The sequence below is a fragment of the Homo sapiens genome, chromosome 7 (genome assembly GCF_000001405.40).
Source record: "Homo sapiens chromosome 7, GRCh38.p14 Primary Assembly".
NCBI lineage: Eukaryota > Metazoa > Chordata > Mammalia > Primates > Hominidae > Homo > Homo sapiens.
Window position 1 is genome coordinate 104,207,049 of NC_000007.14, and position 20,757 is coordinate 104,227,805.

Here is a 20,757-nt window from a genome sequence, read left to right on the forward strand (position 1 = left end):
AAGCAAACCAGAAGATGGGGGTATGAGTATGACCCTGAATTCTCATTCACTCTCTTCGCAGGTAAGATCCAAGTTTGATTAATTCCAATTCTGATTGAGTCTGAATCAAAAAGCACATCAAAGACCACCAGAAAATAGTCAAAAATAGGTTAAATTTTGAATTGGTGAACGCTACCCTCTGCCTATTGAAAGGACTCCCTACGTATCTATGTTCATCCAGACAAGACAAACTCCTCTCTAGGGCATCCTGTGAACTATCAGTTAAGGAGAAAAGTTTACCCTAGACCTCTTCTGGACTGTTACAATTCTGGAAAAGCCAGTAAATTTTTAAACCTGAAGCACTGCTTTGGCCCTTAGTGGCCTTGAAAGCAACCACCTCTCTACACTTGACTCACTCCAACTACCGCACAGAAACGTGTGAACTTACATTTGAATAAATAACACCCTGCAAACACATCTGTTACATAAATGTCATTGGGTTGGGGTAAGATAACAAGCAACTTCTAGGAGCTAATGTGGGCAAACTTCTGAAAAGTGTGGCGTGTTTCAAATACGTCTTAGGCAACGTCCTATAGTGCAGGCCGGTCGCTCTCAGACTGTCTCCTCTTCAATATTCGGAAGAGACTGTGGGTGAAGCTGCAGTACAGAACCACAACACCCCTATTTAACGTAAAAACGGCCTTTTGGCCCTCAATCCAAACACGAAAAAACAAATATTGGAACAGGTCGCAAGACTACCGAAACGTCTGCCTCCAGGATCTGGAAGACAGTTTAACTACAATACCTCTCCAAACAAGGACTGCAAGATGGACACTTGAGACTCGCGACAAAGCACCACGTTTTCCAAGTGGGGCATTCTGGCAGGCACCACCGCAGAGGCCAGTGCAGCCAGCCCACAGGACCCTTGCACAAGACGGAGCCTCTCCCGAGTCTGGCGGCCCACGCTCCCGCCGGAAACCGGACCCGCAGCGTCGTGGGAGGAGCCTGCGCTGCCGGGCTGCGGCGTGACGGCAGCGCGTACGCCGAGCGTCGCCGCCGCTCTAGTCTCAGGGCCGGAACCATCCTCTTCTCGCTGGTCCTGTGCGCGCCGAGGTTTTGCCCATTCTTGGGCTTGGTGGGGATTTCGGGCTGACGCTTTTTCCACTCAAAGGCTAAGGAGACGACATGGAGATGGGCGAATAGGGAAGGGGTGGAAGGGGTTAAGGGGGTCCCGTGGGCCTCCAATGACCCCTGAACCCCGTGCCTTTAGTTTTACCGGCTGGAAGCCCCAAGTTTAGAAACCTTGAGTGCCTAAGAAGACGGACCCGGAGCTGGGGCCCTTAGAGGGACGTGGAAGGCGGACTTAGAAGACTAATATTGTCAAAAGATGTTTTTGTTGTCGTTTTTTTCCCTGACGACGTTGTGGGAAATTAGTGGCATTGAGTACAAAACAGGGTGTAATGGGGTTTAATGCACAGCTTGGAATTACTATTTTTTGTGCAAGCTTTAAACCAGATGTGGAAAGCCTCTCAGTCCTAATGGGATGAAGTCGTAGTGTGTGTTGGTGAGGTTGATAGTAAAAATAATGCTACTTTTAGCATTAGGCTTTCACGTGTATTTATTTGTGAGGCACCTACTAGCGACTAAACACTAGAAGATTCTGGAAATAAGATACAGAAGTAGGCAAGTGCATGGTGGAAAGAGAGCTTGGCGTCCTGAAACCCCTGGGTTGGGACCACTGACTGACTCAACTGCTGAATAGGGGGACTTTGGAATAGTTGAGCCTCAACTTCCTTATCTATAAAATAGGGATAATACTGGCTAGGTTATTGCTAGGAGTAGAAGATCCTGTACATACTACCTGTTATACATAAATTTAAATTGTGGACTTCAATCTGCCCATAGATTGTAGATCAGTCTTAGATTTGTGATGGTCAAAAGGATCTTTTGAGAGTTGTGGTATATAACGTATTAGCTAGTCAAAATAGTATTTTCACAGCAACAATTCAAAAGCATTTGCCCAGGTACTTTTTAATAGAGAATTCTAAAGGTTATAATGGGACCACCCATTAAATTTCAATGTCTCCAAGGGAAGCTGGCCTCTGATACTCTCCTAAGATGGTTATACGTCCGTAACATACTGTGCATATAAGGTATACATATATTATAATCATAACACGACATCTTTATAGCATTCAATAAAACTGACTAAACTGTCTAAAATGTTAGTCTCCCTCTCTATATACTTTATGAGGACAGGAAACACTGTCTTCACAGTTCAATTTCCAGCATACACAGTTAACGCCTGGCAGTTACATAATAAAGATAATTGTTGATCTGAGAGAACATGCCTTACCATCTGGATGATTTAGGATGGTTTCTCAGAGGAGAGAACCTGGAAGCTGAGGCTGAAGAAAAGATTCACCTGTGAGACCAAGAAGGAAATTGTAAACAAAAGAATGTACAGACAAAAAGGGACAAATGGGCAATCCCATAACTGAAACTAGCAAATAGTTTTTACATATAAACCTGGAGAGTAGTAGGAGGTCAGGCTGGGGACCAATAAAGAATTGTAGGCAGAGAAGCAAATGTTGAGATTTGACTTAGAAATATTCCTTCTGGCTACAGTGTGGAAAGTGGAATCAATTTCATTTGTTGAAACGACTATTGCAGTCTCCCAAACAGTGAATAATAATGGCCTCGATAGGCAGCCAAGATGGCCGAATAGGAACAGCTCTGGTCTACAGTTCCCAGCATGAGTGATGCAGAAGACGGGTGATTTCTGCATTTCCATCTGCGGTACTGGGTTCATCTCACTACGGAGTGCCAGACAGTGGGCACAGGATAGTGGGTGCAGTGCACCGTGCACGAGCCAAAGCAGGGCGAGGCATTGCCTCACTCAGGAAATGCAAGGGATCAGGGAGTTCCCTTTCCTAGTCAAAGAAAGGGGTGACAGACAGCATCTGGAAAATCGGGTCACTCACACCCTAATACTGCGCTTTTCCGACGGGCTTAAAAAATGGCACACCAGGAGATTATATCCTGCACCTGGCTCCGACGGTCCTACGCCCACGGAGTCTCGCTGATTGCTAGCACAGCAGTCTGAGATCAAACTGCAAGGAGGCAGCGAGGCTGGGGGAGGGGCGCCCGCCATTGCCCAGGTTTGCTTAGGTAAACAAAGCAGCCAGGAAGCTAAAACTAGGTGGAGCCCACCACAGCTCAAGGAGGCCTGCCTGCCTCTGTAGGCTCCACCTCTGGGGGCAGGGCACAGACAAACAAAAAGACAGCAGTAACCTCTGCAGACTTAAATGTCCCTGTCTGACAGCTTTGAAGAGAGCAGTGGTTCTCCCAGCATGCAGCTAGAGATCTGAGAACGGGCAGACTGCCTCCTCAAGTAGGTCCCTGACCCCTGACCCCTGAGCAGCCTAACTGGGAGGCACCCCCCAGTAAGGGCAGAATGACACCTCACACAGCCGGGTACTCCTCTGAGACAAAACTTCCAGAGGAATGATCAGGCAGCAACATTTGCTGTTCACCAATATCCACTGTTCTGCAGCATCCACTGCTGATACCCACGCAAACAGGGTCTGGAGTGGTCCTCTAGCAAACTCCAACAGACCTGCAGCTGAGGGTCCTGTCTGTTAGAAGGAAAACTAACAAACAGAAGGGACATCCACACCAAAAACCCATCTGTACATCACCAGCATCAAAGACCAAAAGTAAATAAAACCACAAAGATGGGGAAAAAACAGAGCAGAAAAACTGGAAACTCTAAAAAGCAGAGTGCCTCTCCTCCTCCAAAGGAACGCAGTTCCTCACCAGCAATGGAACAAAGCTGGTCGGAGAATGACTTTGACGAGTTGAGAGAAGAAGGCTTCAGACGATCAAACTACTCCAAGCTACAGGAGGAAATTCAAACCAAAGGCAAAGAAGTTAAACACTTTGAAAAAAATTTAGACGAATGTATAACTAGAATAACCAATAGAGAGAAGTGCTTAAAGGAGCTGATGGAGCTGAAAGCCAAGGCTCGAGAACTACGTGAAGAATGCAGAAGCCTCAGGAGCCAATGTGATCAACTGGAAGAAAGGGTATCAGTGATGGAAGGTGAAATGAATGAAATGAAGTGAGAAGGGAACTTTAGAGAAAAAAGAATAAAAAGAAACGAACAAAGCTTCCAGGAAATATGGGACTGTGTGAAAAGACCAAATCTACGTCTGATTGGTGTACCTGAAAGTGACGGGGAGAATGGAACCAAGTTGGAAAACACTCTGCAAGATATTATCCAGGAGAACTTCCCCAATCTAGCAAGGCAGGCCAACATTCACATTCAGGAAATATAGAGAATGCCACAAAGATACTCCTTGAGAAGAGCAACTCCAAGACACATAATTGTCAGATTCACCAAAGTTGAAATGAAGGAAAAAATGTTAAGGGCAGCCAGAGAGAAAGGTTGGATTACCAACAAAGAGAAGCCCATCAGACTAACAGCAGATCTCTCAGCAAAAACTCTGCACACCAGAAGAGAGTGGGGGCCAATATTCAACATTCTTAAAGAAAAGAATTGAAAAGAATTTTCAACCCAGAATTTCATATCCAGCCAAACTAAGCTTCATAAGTGAAGGAGAAATAAAATCCTTTACAGACAAGCAAATGCTGAGAGATTCTGTCACCACCAGACCTGCCCTAAAAGAGCTCCTGAAGGAAGCACTAAACATGGAAAGGAACAACCGGCACCAACCACTGCAAAATCATGCCAAAATGTAAAGACCATCAAGGGTAGGAAAAACTGCATCAGCTAATGAGCAAAATAACCAGCTAACATCATAATGGCAGGATCAAATTCACACATAACAATATTAACTTTAAATGTAAATGGACTAAATGCTCCAATTAAAAGACACAGACTGGCAAATTGGATAAAGAGTGAAGACCCATCAGTGTGCTGTATTCAGTAAACCCATCTCATGTGCAGAGACACACATAGGCTCAAAATAAAAGGATGGCGGAAGCTCTACCAAGCAAATGGAAAACAGAAAAAGGCAGGGGTTGCAATCCTAGTCTCTGATAAAACATACTTTAAACCAACAAAGATCAAAAGAGACAAAGAAGGACGTTATATAATGGTAAAGGGATCAATTCAACAAGAAGAGCTAACTATCCTAAATATATATGCACCCAATACAGGAGCACCCAGATTCATAAAGCAAGTCCTGAGTGACCTACGAAGAGACTTAGACTCCCACACAATAATAATGGGAAACTTTAACACCCCACTGTCAACATTAGACAGATCAACGAGACAGAAAGTTAACAAGGATACCGAGGAATTGAACTCAGCTCTGCACCAAGCAGACCTAATAGACATCTACAGAACTCTCCACCCCAAATCAACAGAATATACATTTTTTTCAGCACCACAGCACACCTATTCCAAAATTGACCACATAGTTGTAAGTAAAGCTCTCCTCAGCAAATGTAAAAGAACACAAATTATAACAAATTGTCTCTCAGACCACAGTGCAATCAAACTAGAACTCAGGATTAAGAAACTCACTCAAAACCACTCAACTACATGGAAACGGAACAACCTGCTCCTGAATGACTGCTGGGTACATAACGAAATGAAGGCAGAAATAAAGATGTTCTTTGAAACCAACGAGAACGAAGACACAACATACCAGAATCTCTGGGACACATTCAAAGCCGTGTGTAGAGGGAAATTTATAGCACTAAATGCCCGCAAGTGAAAGCAAGAAAGATCTAAAATTGACACCCTAACATCACAATTAAAAGAACTAGAAAAGCAAGAGCAAACACATTCAAAAGCTAGCAGAAGGCAAGAAATAACTAAAATCAGAGCAGAACTGAAGGAAGTAGAGACACAAAAAACCCTTCAAAAAATTAATGAATCCAGGAGCTAGTTTTTTGAAAGGATCAACAAAATTGATAGACCACTAGCAAGACCAATAAAGAAGAAAAGAGAGAAGAAACAAATAGACGCAATAAAAAATGATAAAGGGATATTACCACCGATCCCACAGAAATACAAACTACCATCAGAGAATACTACAAACACCTCTATGAAAATAAACTGCAAAATCTAGAAGAAATGGATAAATTCCTCGACACATACACCCTACGAAGACTAAACCAGGAAGAAGTTGAATCTCTGAACAGACCAATAACAGGATCTGAAATTGTGGCAATAATCAATAGCTTACCAACCAAAAAGAGTCCAGGACCAGATGGATTCACAGCCAAATTCTACCAGAGGTACAAGGAGGAACTGATACCATTCCTTCTGAAACTATTCCAATCAATAGAAAAAGAGGGAATCCTCCCTAACTCATTTTATGAGGCCAGCATCATCCTGATACCAAAGCAAGGCAGAGACACAACCAAAAAAGAGAATTTTAGACCAATATTCTTGATGAACATTAATGCAAAAATCCTCAATAAAATTCTGGCAAACCGAATCCAGCAGCACATCAAAAAGCTTATCCACCATGATCAAGTGGGCTTCATCCCTGGGATGCAAGGCTGGTTCAATATATGCAAATCAAGAAATGTAATCCATCATATAAACAGAACCAAAGACAAAAACCACATGATTATCTCAATAGATGCAGAAAAGGCCTTTGACAAAATTCAACAACCCTTCATGCTAAAAACTCTCAATAAATTAGGTATTGATGAGACGTATCTCAAAATAATAAGAGCTATCTATGACAAACCCACAGCCAATATCATACTGAATGGGCAAAAACTGGAAGCATTCCCTTTGAAAACTGGCACAAGACAGGGATGCCCTCTCTCACCACTCCTATTCAACATAGTGTTGGAAGTTCTGGCCAGGGCAATCAGGCAGGAGAAGGAAATAAAGGGTATTCAATTAGGAAAAGAGGAAGTCAAATTGTCCCTGTTTGCAGATGACATGATTGTATATCTAGAAAATCCCATCGTCTCAGCCCAAAATCTCTTTGAGCTGATAAGCAACTTCAGCAAAGTCTCAGGATACAAAATCAATGTACAAATATCACAAGCATTCTTATACACCAATTACAGACAGAGTGCCAAATCATGAGTGAACTCCCATTCACAATTGCTTCAAAGAGAATAAAATACCTAGGAATCCACCTTACAAGGGACGTGAAGGACCTCTTCAAGGAGAACTACAAACCACTGCTCAGTGAAATAAAAGAGGATACAAAGAAATGGAAAAACATTCCGTGCTCATGGGTAGGAAGAATCAATATCGTGAAAATGGCCATACTGCCCAAGGTAATTTACAGATTCAATGACATCCCCATCAAGCTACCAATGACTTTCTTCACAGAATTGGAAAAAACCACCTTAAAGTCATATGGAACCAAAAAAGAGCCCGCATGGCCAAGTCAATCCTAAGCCAAAAGAACAAAGCTGGAGGCATCACGCTACCTGACTTCAAACTATACTACAAGGCTACAGTAACCAAAACAGCATGGTACTGGTACCAAAACAGAGATATAGATCAATGGAACAGAACAGAGCCCTCAGAAATAACGCCACATATCTACAACTATCTGATCTTTGACAAACCTGAGAAAAACAAGCAATGGGAAAAGGATTCCCTATTTAATAAATGGTGCTGGGAAAACTGGCTAGCCATATGTAGAAAGCTGAAACTGGATCCCTTCCTTACACCTTATACAAAAATTAATTCAACATGGATTAAAGACTTAAACGTTAGACCTAAAACCATAAAAACCCTAGAAGAAAACCTAGGCATTACCATTCAGGACATAGGCATGGGCAAGGACTTCATGTCTAAAACACCAAACACAATGGCAACAAAAGCCAAAATTGACAAATGGGATCTAATTAAACTAAAGAGCTTCTGCACAGCAAAAGAAACTACCATCAGAGTGAACAGGCAACCTACAAAATGGGAGAAAATTTTCACAACCTACTCATCTGACAAAGAGCTAATATCCAGAATCTACAGTGAACTCAAACAAATTTACAAGAAAAAAACAAACAACCCCATCAAAAAGTGGGTGAAGGACATGAACAGACACTTCTCAAAAGAAGACATTTATGCAGCCAAAACACACATGAAAAAATGCTCATCATCACTGGCCATCAGAGAAATGCAAATGAAAACCACAATGAGATACCATCTCACACCAGTTAGAATGGCAATCATTAAAAAGTCAGGAAACAACAGGTGCTGGAGAGGATGTGGAGAAATAGGAACACTTTTACACTGTTGGTGGGACTGTAAACTAGTTCAACCCTTGTGGAAGTCAGTGTGGCGATTCCTCAGGGATCTGGAACTAGAAATACCATTTGACCCAGCCATCTCATTACTGGGTATATACCCAAAGGACTATAAATCATGCTGCTATAAAGACACATGCACACGTATGTTTATTGTGGCTCTATTCACAATAGGAAAGACTTGGAACCAACCCGAATGTCCAACAATGATAGACTGGATTAAGAAAATGTGGCACATATACACCATGGAATACTATGCAGCCATAAAAAATGATGAGTTCATGTCCTTTGTAGGGACATGGATGAAACTGGAAACCATCATTCTCAGTAAACTATCGCAAGAACAAAAAACCAAACACCGCATGTTCTCACTCATAGGTGGGAATTGAACAGTGAGAACACATGGACACAGAAAGGGGAACATCACACTCTGGGGACTGTTGTGGGGTTGGGGGAGGGGGGAGGGATAGCATTGGGAGATATACCTCATGCTAAATGACGAGTTAATGGGTGCAGCACACCAGCATGGCACATGTATACATATGTAACTAACCTGCACATTGTGCACATGTACCCTAAAACTTAAAGTATAATTTAAAAAAATGGCCTTTATAAACAATGGGAATAGGCGAGAGGGAATGGTAATTAAAGTTTATTAAACATAATGTGGCTGACACTGTGATAGATATATTACTCCCATTTAAATTTTAACAATTTTTTTTTTTTTTTTTTTTTTTGAGACGGAGTCTCACTCTGTCGCCCAGGCTGGAGTGCAGTGGCAGGATCTCGGCTCACTGCAAGCTCTGCCTCCTGGGTTCACGCCATTCTCCTGCCTCAGCCTCCCAAGTAGCTGGGTCTACAGGCGCCCGCCACTATACCCGGCTAATTTTTTGTATTTTTAGTAGAGACGGGGTTTCTCCGTTTTAGCCGGGATGGTCTCGATATCCTGACCTCGTGATCCGCCTGCCTCGGCCTCCCAAAGTGCTGGGATTACAGGCGTGAGCCACCGCGCCCGGCCTTAAATTTTAACAATATTATAATAGAGATACCATTCTTGTTTCACATTTAGAAAAACCAGCTGGGTTAGGTAATTTATCCAAAGGTTTATAGTTCGTAATTACTTGAACTTAGATCTGGTTAATCCTAAAGCCCTTAATCTTTTTACTACCCCATACTGAGAATGGGCTAAGTCTGAGAGAAATTTGGAAGTATATTTTATAGAACTCAGTAGCTGTTTGTAAGAGATGGAGGGAGGAGTCATAGAGACTAGCATTTAGGTTTCTGACATAGGTGATTTTAGGTTTTGCCAGTAGTGAAATAAAAAATAAGGAATACAGATGAAAAGCCAGATGGAAAAATAAGGAGCAGGTTTATAGATTTAGTTTTATCTTTATGGGATAAGAAATGACCCAAGTGGGTTTGTTATATTAAATTTGAAGTGTCTGCGAAACAACCAGATAAAGAAGTCCAGTAAAAATGGGATCTGTAGCTCGAGAGAGAAGGGCCCGGAGAAGGAGACACAGAAATATATACTTATAGGTAGTATATAGGTAGTTGAGCCAGTCATTTAAATGAGATTATTGATGGGTGTTTGTTTCATGGATTTCATGGAATTATTTGAAAGTAATTAACTAGAACTAGGGAGTAGAAGGGAATTTTGTCAACTGGATAAAGAGCATCTATGAAAAAAACTACAGCTAATATCATAATTAATCATGAAATACTAATGCATTCCCCCCTACATTCAGGGACAAGGCAAGGGTGTCTGTTCTCACTCCTCTGTGCAACATTGTACTGGAGGTTGTAACCAGTGCAATAAGAAAAGGAAATTAAATGCACCCAGATTTGAAAGAAAAAAAAAACACGAATTTACTTACAGACAACATGATTGTTATGTAGAAAATCTGATGGATTCTACAAACAAGTTTCTAGAACTAATAAGTGAGCTTTGCAAGGTTTCAAGATGCAAGATTAACATAGAAAAAATAGTATTTCTATGTACTAGCAATAAGCGATTGGGAATTGAAATTTAAAATAACAGCACAATTTCAATAGCATCAAAAATTATTAAATACTGAAGAATAAATCTGACACATGTAAGACTTGCACACTGAAAACTACAAAATATTACTGAGAGAAATTAAAGAAGACATTATTTTAAAATATAGAGGTATCATGTTTAAGACTCAGACTCAATTTTGTTAAAATTTGTCACTTTTACCCCAAATTGATGTGTAGATTCAACACAATCCCAGTCAAAATCTTAGTGTGCTCTCTCTCTTTTTTTTTTTTTTTGGCAGAAAATGACAATTTAAAAATAGGCTTGGCCAGGCAAACTGGCTCACACCTGTAATCCCAACACTTTGGGATGCCAAGGCAGGTGAATTGCTTAAGCTTAGGAGTTCGAGACCAGCCTGGGCAACATGGTGAAACCCCGTATCTACAAAAAATACAAAAATTAATTAGCCATAGTGGCTTGTGCCTGTGGCCCCAGTTACTCGTGAGGCTGAGGTAGGTGGATCACTTGAGGCCAGGAGGTCAAGGTTGCAGTGAGTCATGACAGCACCACTGCACTCCAGCCTGGGCAACAGAGCAAGACCGTGTCTAAGAAAAAATAAGTAAAATGAATTTTACAAAATAAAAATAGGCTAAAGATTTGAACAAGCACTTTACTGAAAAACAATATACTGACCACAACTAAGCACATAAAAGAATGTTCAACATCTTTAGTAATTAGGACAATGCAAATTAAAACCACAATAAGATACTACTACACACCTATTAGAATCTAGCCTGAAATTAAAAAGACTGACCATTCCGAAGTGTTGGCAAGGATGTGGAGCAACTGAAACCTTCATACATTGTTGCCAGGAATGTAAAATGGTACAGCCACTTCGAAAAACAGTATGACAGTTTCTTAAAATTTAAGCAGACACCTACCGTATGACCCAGCCATTCTACCCCTAGAAGTTTACCTAAGAAAACATGAAAACGTATGTTCATACAAATACTTAGACACTACTATTCAGTGGTTTATTTGAAATCCAAAAAATGGAAACAAATTCCATTAAGAAGTAAATAGATTTAAAAATTGTGGGATATTCATACAAATATTTTTCAGCGATATAAAGGACTAAGTATATGAAATAGCATGGATAAATCTCACAAATAATTATGCTAAATGAAATAAGCCAGATTCCCTCCCCCTACAAAAAAGTATGTACTGTATGCTTCTATTTTTATAAAATTCCAGAAAAAATAAACTATAGTTAAAGCAGTAGTAAAGTAGTAGTTAAAGAAGTGATAGTGGCTGTCAGGTAATGAGGAGGTGGGTCAGAAAGGAGGTATTATAAAGAAGAGTGAGGAAATCTGGGGAATGGTGGATATTATAGGTTGAATTATGTCCTCCTCCCAAAATTCAGTGAGGTTCTAACTCCTAGAAGCTGTGAATGTGGCCTTATTTGGAAATAGGGTCTTTGCAAGTTTAATCAAGTCAAGATCAGGTCATTTGGATGAGCCCTATTCCAATATTATTTTCTGTTTATAAGAAGTGGCCATGTGAAGACACAGAGGCTTGGGGAGAATGCCAAGGGAAGATGGAGGTAGAGATTGGAGCAATGCATCTGCAAGCCAGGGAACGCATAGGATCACAGGCCCTCCACCAGAAGCTAGGAGAGGCACATGGAACAGATTGTCCCTCAAGGCCCTCAGAAGGAATCTATATTTCTGACACCCTGATTTTGGGCTTCTAGCCTTCAGAACTGATAGAGAATTCATTTCTATTGTTTTAAGCCACCTAGTTTGTGGTACCTAGGATATAAATACAATGGTTATAGTCATTATCTTGATTGTTGTCATAGTTTCATGGAAGCATATATATTTCAAAACCTATCAAATTGTTATTAAGGTATGCTAATTATACCTTAATAAAATTCCTCAAACTTAATCAATTAAAATAAAGGAGGATTGTGCATAGAATAATGATAGTATATTATGACCGATAGTACTGATTAATCCAATTCTATTTCTCTGAAATCCATTTAGAAAACACAGAAAACCATCATCAATCTGTGACTGCTTTACTTGTGTCTCCAGTACATTTCTGTGCTTTCTCACCTTCAAGTCTCTGCTTCTACAGTCACTTCTTGCACTACCCCACCTACATCCCAATTGAATAAATTATTCATTCACCAAATGAATTGAGTATATACTTTCTCTGAAATGTTTTCAGTGTTCAGGTAGAGCAGTGAATAAAACAGATACCCCCTCCCTACACAAAGGGTCATTATGAGGCTTATGTTTTTGCCCACCTACACCTTTAGGCTCCATTTGAATCTGCCCAGTTCTGCCTCTAGAACCCCAAATCAAATACATGAAAGAGTGCTGGGCCCTGCCTTTTGCAATCACCATGAAGGCAGGCTGACTAGTGCCTCTCATTTACATATATATATCCTATTGGTTTTGTTTCACTGGAGATCCCTAATACATATTTTTTTAAAAATTCAGATTTATTGAGGCATAGTGCATATTTTCTCTTTTTAGTGTACAGTTCTGAGTTTTTATAAACATATACAGTCATGTCACCACTATCAAAATCAAGATATAGAACAATTTCATTACCCACAAAATTCCCCAGCACTCCTCTGTAGGCAGCCTCTTTCCCCTTCCCCCAGAATCTGGCAAACACTGATCTTATTTCTTTTCTTATGGTTTCACCTTTTCCAGAATGTCATACAAATGGAATCATATAATATGCAACATTTTGAGTTTAATTCTTTTTCTTCGCATAACACATTTGAAATTTATTCATGTTATTCCATGTATTAGCAGTTCATTCCTTTTTATTGATGAGCAAAAATCCATTACATAGATCATCATAGTTTATTCTCTAGGTTAAGGACACTTTGTTTACATCAAGTTTTTAACATTATGAATAGAGTCACTATAAACAATCATGAACAGGGGTGTGTGTGTGTGTGTGTGTGTGTGTGTGTGTGTATGGTAATCACCTGACAGGTTCTTCTTGTCCACTGCACAGATAGAGCCAATTTACTGAGAGCTGAGACAGTGGTATTGCAATAGAGAAAGAAGTCAATAATTGCAGGGCCAGCCAAGCAGAAAGAAGGGAGTTTTTACTCAAATCAGCCTGCCTGAAAATTTAGAGGCTAGGATTTTTCAAGGATAGTTTGGTGGGCAGGGGGCTAGAAAATGGGAAATGCTGCTTTATTGGGTCAGGGATGAAATCACAGGGGGTCAAATCTGTCTCCTTTTGCTGAGTCAGTTCCTACCTGGTAGTCACAAGACCAGATGAGGCCAGTTTCTTGGTATGGGTTACCAGTCCAGATGGCGCCAGCTGGTCCATCAGAATGCAGGGTCTGGGAAGTACCTCAAACACCAATCTTAGGGTTCACAATAGTAGTGTTATCTATAGGAGAAATTAAGGTTACAAATCTTGTGACCTCTGGCTACCTGACTCTTGAATCATAATTCCAAGCTTGTGGCTAATTTGTTAGTTTTACAAAGGCAGTTTCAGTCCCTGAGCAATAAGGGAGTTAGTTTTGGGAAAGGATTGTTGTTATTGATTCCTCCCATGTTTAGCTGTGCCTATACTCAGGAACGAATAAGGAAAGCTTGGAGGTTAGACACAAGATATAATCAGTTAGCTTAGATTTCTCCATTAAAATTTTTGCAAGGGCAGTTTCAAACATAGGTATTTCACTTCACTTAACTAAAATATAGAAGTGGGATTGCTGGATTGTATGATAAATGTATGTTTAAGTTCATAAGAAATTGCCAAACTGTTTTCCAGAGTGACTGCACTATTTCACATTCCCACTGGCAATTATGAGAATTCCAGATATTTGACATTCTTATCCTGTTACTTTTAGCCCACCTGTGTTCTATTTTAAAATGGGTTTCTTGTAGGCAGTGTATGCAATTGGCCTTTTGTATCTGTGGTTCCACATGCATGAATTCAACTAACAGGAACAAAAGATATTAGAAAAAAATAATAAGGAACAATACAACAATACAAATAATACAAATAAAAACAATACAGTATAACAACTACTTACAGAGCATTCATATTGTTTTAGGTATTGTAAGTAATCTAGAGATGATTTATACAGTATACAGGATGGCATGCATAGGTTTTATGCAAGTACTGTAGACATTTTATAAAAGAAACTTAAACATCCACATTTTTTGGTATCCTTGATGGTCTGGGGGAACCAATCCCCCACAGATACCAAGGGACAGCTGTAGTGAGAACTTTCTTATTTATCCTTATTTATCTTGTCTGACAATTTCTGTGTTTCAATTTGTGTCTTCAGATGATTTATATTGCCTTAATGATTGATACAGTTGAACTGAAATCTATCATCTTGCTAGTTGTTTCCTATTTGTTTCATCTGTGTTTTTTCCTTTTTTCTCGTTTTTGCTCCTGCTTTTAGGTTACTTAAGCATTTTAAAAAATTACATTTTGCCTCTGCTTTGGGCTTATTATGCCAGTTTTTAAAGTTGTTGTCATGTTTGCCCTAGGGTTTATAATACATACGTTTAATTAACTACCATCTACCTTTAAACATATTAAACTTCTTCAAGACTACTGTAAGAACCTTACAACGGTATTCTCAATTCTCACCCCCACCTTTTGTGCTTTTGTTGTCACATCTTTTATATCTTATTATATTATATAAACCCAAAATATGTTGCTGCTAGACCAGTGCTGTGCAATAAAGCTTTCTGTTTTGTCCAATACAGTATTCACTGGCCACATGTGGCTGTTGAACTCTTGAAATGCGGCTAGTTATAACAATGGACTGAATTTTTAGCTTTTATTTTTAAATTTTTAATTAGTTTACATTATATTGCTACCTTTTGTTAATGGCTAGTGTATTGAACTGTACAGATTTAGATAAATATATTTTAGAATGACTAAAATAAAAAATAAAACGGACTGGGCACAGTTGCTCATGCTTGTAATCCTGGCACTTTGGGAGGCTGAGGAGGGAAGATCGCTTGAGCCCAGGAGTTTAAGACCAGATTGGGCAACATGGGGAGACCCCAACTCTACAAAAATAAAATAAAATAATTAGCCAGGCATGGTGGTGTGCGCCCGTAGTCCCAGCTACTTGGAGGATCTAAGGTGGGAAGATCGCTTGAGCCAGGGAGGTTGACACTGCCGTGAGCTGTGATTGGATGACAGAGCAAGACCTTGTCTCAAAAAAAAAAAAAAAAAAAAGAAAAGAAAAAGAAAATTAAAATTAATAAATAAATAAGGCTAAGGCTTTTATAGTAACATTCATTTAATCATTTCTGGAAATTTTTTATTTCTTTTTGTAGATCCAAATCTTTGCCTAGTATCATTTTCCTTCTGGTTGAAGAATTGTAATATTTCTTTTAAGGCAGATCTGCTGTTAACAAATTCTCTCATCTTTTTTTTCACCTTTATTTCTAGAAGATATTTTAGCGGAGTATATAATTCTGGGTGAGGATGGATTTTTTGCAGCATTTGAAATTGACATTACATTGTCTTCTGCTGTGGTCATCTTCAAGATTTTCTCTTTACTTGTCTTCAATAGTTTGGATATGATGGGTATAGGTGTATTATTTTTACTTTTTCTGTTTTTCTGCTTGGGTGTTCTCTGAGCTGTTTAGGTCTGTAATTTGATTCTTTCATTATTTAAAAAATTTTTTAGCCATGATCTCTTCAAACAGTCTGCCCCTTTCTCTCTATTCTCTTCTGAAATTCCAACTGCAAGTATGTTAGACCACTGGTTGATGTCCTGCAGTATTTATATGTTCTGTTCTGATATTCTCATCCCACCCCTGCATACTCTATTCTCTCTGTGTTTCAGTTTCTGTTGACTTATATTCATATTCACTGATTGTTTCTTCAGCTTTGTCAAATCTACTGATGAACCCATCCAAGGCATTTACCATCTCTGCTACAATATTTTTTATTTCTAGCATTTCTATCTCACTCTTTTCTATAGTTTCTATCTCCAGTAAAATTCCCATCTGTTCATTTCTACCTTTTCCTCAGATTCTTTTCTTTTCTCTTTTCTTTTCTCTTCTTTTCCTGAGACAGAGTCTCACTCTGGAGTGTGGTGGTGCAATCCTAGCTCTCTCCACCTCCTGGGTTCAGGTGATTCTTCTGCCTCGGCCTCCCAAGTAGCTGGGACTACAGGCACGTGCCACCATGCCCAGACAGTTTTTTGTATTTTTAGTAGAGATGGGGTTTCACCGTGTTGGCTAAGGCTGGTCTTGAACTCCTGGCCTCAAGTGATCTGTCTGCCTTAGCCTCCCAAAGTGCTGGGATCACAGTCTTGAGCCACTGTGCCCGGCCCAGATTCTTTAACATAGTAATCAAAGTTATTTAAAATTCTCTGTCTAATGGCTCAAACATCTGGATCAACTGAGTCTCATTCTGTTGATTGCTTTGTCTTTGTCAGAGGCTTTTTTGTACTTAAAAAAATTATATGTCTCATAAGTTTTTATTGAATGCTATACATCATGTGTAGAACAGTAGAGATTGTGGTAAATACATGTTGAATACTCCTTATCTGAAATGATTGGGACCAGAAATATTTCACATTTTGGATTTTTTCAGATTTTTGAATATTTGCATTATACTTACGGGCTGAGCATCCCAAATCTAAAAATCAGAAATCAGAAATTATCCAATGGGCATGTCCTCAGAGATTCAGATTTTAAATGCTCAAATTTGGAATGCTCAAGTAGATATTAATGTGTGACTGCATCAAGTCAAAGTAGTTCTGAGTGAGCTGCATCTGGGGCTTGTTGTTGCTATGGTTACTTTCAGCTTCAGAATTTCTGTAGTGTTTCCTTATCCTTAGGGTGGGAGCTGGGTGATGCCAGGGTTTGCTGCCTTTCTGTCAAAGGCTTAGGACTTTGTTTTATAAAGGACAAAGGTCAAGGCAGGGCTTCATTCATTTCTCAGTTTCCAACATTTTCCCACATTCATTTTCCAAAGGAGAGGTTTCCACTCCTTTTCTTCCAGACTTGCACATCTGAGGGAGGCTTTCTCCTGCTCTGCCCTCAATCTTTCTTGTGAGTATCCAGTGAAGGTTCGTGGAGATGAGCCTGTGAATGAGTGTGAACTCCCCTTTTTTCTGTGGCTCCATGCTAGCCACAGTTGGCCTTTACCAAACCATTAAAAATTTTAACTGAATGTTTTTGCCTGCTTGTATGGCAGCTGCCTTTTTTCCTCCAATATTCTGCCATCAGTGACTCAGCGCTCATGACTCATCTCTCCTTGAGGGAGCCTGTCTTTGCCTACATTTTAGGCTGCTTGGTTTCCTTGTCATTTTATTGTTATTGTTTTTGTTATTTTTTGAGATAGAGACTCACTCTGTCACCCAGGCTGGAGTGCAGTGGTGCAATCTTGGCTCACTGTAACTTCTGCCTCCTGGGTTCAAGCAGTTCCCCTGTCTCAGCCTCCTGAGTAGCTGGGGTTACAGGCATATGCCACTATGCCTGGCTAAGTTTTGTACTTTTATTGTACAAAAATTATTTTGTACAATTTTTGTACTTTTAGTAGAGACATGGTTTCACCATGTTGGCCAGGCTGGTCTCGAACTCCTGACTTCAAGTGATCCTCCCTCCTCAGCTTCCCAAAGTACTGCGATTACAGGCATGAGCCACCGCTCCCAGCCTCCTTGTCATTTTAGCTCTGTGATTGGTTAAAAAAGAATTACAATTTTTTAGTTTATCTAGCTTTTCTTATTGGAGTAGGAGCGATGCTCTTTCCAGGTTATTACACTCTGGATAATAGTAGAACTCAACTAGATATTTTTAAAATCCAAGCTCACATATCTTCTCTTGTCTCAGTTTTCTTTTTATTCACCCTCTGTCCTGAGTTTGAACCTTTCACATGAACGCTTTCATCATTGACTCAGGCTACATCTTATAGGGAACCAAACTTAAGACATCTACCTATATAGTTCTAGCTCCAATGCTATAAAACTCCCCCAATGTTCGCAGCCCATAGATTGATTATTTGCATTTGTTATAGCACCTAAAATCTCAATCTTGTATTATGGCTATTTCTGCTTGTGTTTTTTAGGTACCAATGGGATTAAAATACCCATAGTCATTTATTAATTCCTTCATTCATTAATCTAGCTTTTGTTTTTTTTTTTTTTTTTTGAGATGTTTTTACATTTTTTTTAGAGACAGGGAGGGTCTCTGTCACCCAGGCTTAAGTGCAGCAGCTGTTCACCGGTGCAATAATAACACATTATGGCCTCAAATTCCTGGGCTCAAGTGATCCTCCTGCCTCAGCATCCCAAGTAACTGGGGCTACAGGCTTGTGCCACCATGCCTGGCTAATCTAACATTTGCTGAGGACCTGTTATGCTAGAGTGCCAGACTGTGACCAAGAGACATATGGTAATAGTTCTCATGAAGCTTACAATCCAGTGGGGAAGACAATGAAGATGTAATTAGAAGCTTACTGAGTGCTATAAATGCAAAGCCTCAGTAAATAGAAATATAAACACAGAATAAATGAGAGGTTGAATAAATGTATAAATAATCCCTTCTCCACAATTACTTATCTCTCTTCTTTGTATTACATTTCACCTAAAATATAATGCTTCTTAAGTTCCTGATCATATTATTCTAGAATTTTACCATAAATAGCTGCCTCAATTTTTTTTTATAAAACTTTTTCTCGGTTTGACAAGTGATGAAAAAGTAGCGCCAAGCATTGACTTTATATTGCGGGACCACAGTCTCCAATACTTCGTATTCCCTGAGAGCTACTAACATATATTAGAAGTCTTATATAATATTACATTGACTAGGACAAATATTTTGAAATTTGCCTCAACTAAAATTTATTTCATTTATTTCAATGAAAAATATGTTTAAAAATTACACCATAATAGAAAAAGTAATAAGAAAATGTAATAAAACTATACTCAAAAGTGATTTATATAATGAAATATAAGAAAATTCAATATCACAGTGAAATTAAATCAATATTAAGTTGAAAAGCAATTCAGTTAACTTTTCCACTGCAACAGCCAGATCAATTATTTACATTACTTCTTTTCAAACTTTCAACATTGAATTTCTAAAGAAAACTTTATCAGACAGGCTAATTTAACATTTCTTAAGAGACATATTCACTTCTACAAGTAAATATTCATGAAAACATTTTTATTCAAAAGATAAATAATAAAGCACAGGATCTAGACTTCAACAGACATGGGTTAGGATCTTGGTTTCGACACTTCTTAACTGTGACTTTAGGCCTTGGTTTCCTCATTTGTAAAGTTGTGGGGAAGGGGAAGAAAATAACATCCACCTCACAAGGCTGACATCTCTGTATTTCCAAGAAGAGATTATCTCTGCCCACATTGAATTTCCACAACTGTCTGACTATCCTTCATTAAAATACAAACATCACAAGTGAAGACAGTGATTTTTGTCGACTTTGTTCAATGCCCTATCCTTACCTGCAAAATAGTGACTAGTACATATAAGGAGCTCAGTATGTGTTGAGTGAATGTATGTGATGTGTTTAACCTGGTTCCCAGCAAGTGGCAAATACCCAATAAATATTATTATAATTATTATTTTATTGATTCATTAACTTTACCAAAACCAAACTTTAATTCTTACCCTGCCGTTCCTATACCCTTTCCATCTCATTAAATTGGCACTTCATTTTTCTAGTAGTTCAGGCCAAAATATTTTGAAGTCTTATATTTGTTTCTCTTTTTGCTCAGTACCTCACAAATCTCTCATAAGTCCTGACTCTACCTTTCAAATATTGTGGTGAGACATTGCTCCCAGGGTCTCTCAGATTTCTGCATGTCTTGTGAGTAAGCCATTGACTGCCCTTTCTTTAGGACTATGTCTTCCAGGATATTTATCTACCAAACAGTTTTGGAAGCTAGAGATAATGTTTCCCTCTGGAGAAAGGGGAGCAGAGATGCATTTCTGTCCAGTATGGTAAAGATAATGTATACCATATAAGCCAAGAGCAGGCCTGTTTATGTTTACTGCCCATTGTAAAAGTTTCAGGTTCCCCAAGCTCAAGGTTTCGTCTCTTGTAACAAAATCCACTGCACATGCAACTGTCATCATATTTATTTTGTTGCCCTGTGGGAATCGAGGTTTGGAGAACTGACACAAAAATGCTGATACTGGGACATGGAACCAAATGCATAGATCATAGAAGACTTCCTAGAGGAAATGATCTCTATTATGAATAATGAAATATATGTAGGAGTTACTGAATGAGAGAATAATGCGCAAAGGTTCAATGCTTAGAAAGAGCATGAAAACATTGGGATACCTGTGGGGGTTTCAGCAGAGCGCAAGCGTTGGGTACACAGTAGAGAAAAGAATATGGAATAAGACTGAAAAAGAACGTTAAAAAAAAATAGGAAACTGGGGAGGTAAGGGTGTCCTGACATTAACAGTCTTGTGTGCCATGACATGGAGTTTAGACATGATATAAAGATCATGAGGAGCCACTGA

The 20,757-nt window shown here is 39.4% G+C and overlaps 1 protein-coding gene across 4 annotated transcripts in view, besides 3 other annotated features; it reads right to left on the bottom strand.

Annotated features, from left to right (window-relative positions):
• The window catches only part of ORC5 (origin recognition complex subunit 5), an 81,673-nt gene extending 80,708 nt beyond the window's left edge, over positions 1 to 965 (bottom strand). For all 4 annotated transcript variants that reach the window (NM_002553.4, XM_047420431.1, NM_181747.4 and 1 more), the window contains exon 1: positions 785 to 965. In NM_002553.4, the coding sequence (NP_002544.1) occupies positions 785 to 856 (72 nt within the window). In that variant the 5' untranslated portion in view covers positions 857 to 965. The remainder of the gene's footprint in view (positions 1 to 784) is intronic.
• Positions 624 to 813: an enhancer, noted in NCBI's record as "active region_26443". NCBI's record gives its function as "activates an Ori minimal core promoter by ATAC-STARR-seq in GM12878 lymphoblastoid cells {active_cell/tissue: GM12878}" and the evidence as "EXISTENCE:reporter gene assay evidence [ECO:0000049][PMID:35858748]".
• Positions 854 to 933: an enhancer, noted in NCBI's record as "active region_26444". NCBI's record gives its function as "activates an Ori minimal core promoter by ATAC-STARR-seq in GM12878 lymphoblastoid cells {active_cell/tissue: GM12878}" and the evidence as "EXISTENCE:reporter gene assay evidence [ECO:0000049][PMID:35858748]".
• Positions 984 to 1,143: an enhancer, noted in NCBI's record as "active region_26445". NCBI's record gives its function as "activates an Ori minimal core promoter by ATAC-STARR-seq in GM12878 lymphoblastoid cells {active_cell/tissue: GM12878}" and the evidence as "EXISTENCE:reporter gene assay evidence [ECO:0000049][PMID:35858748]".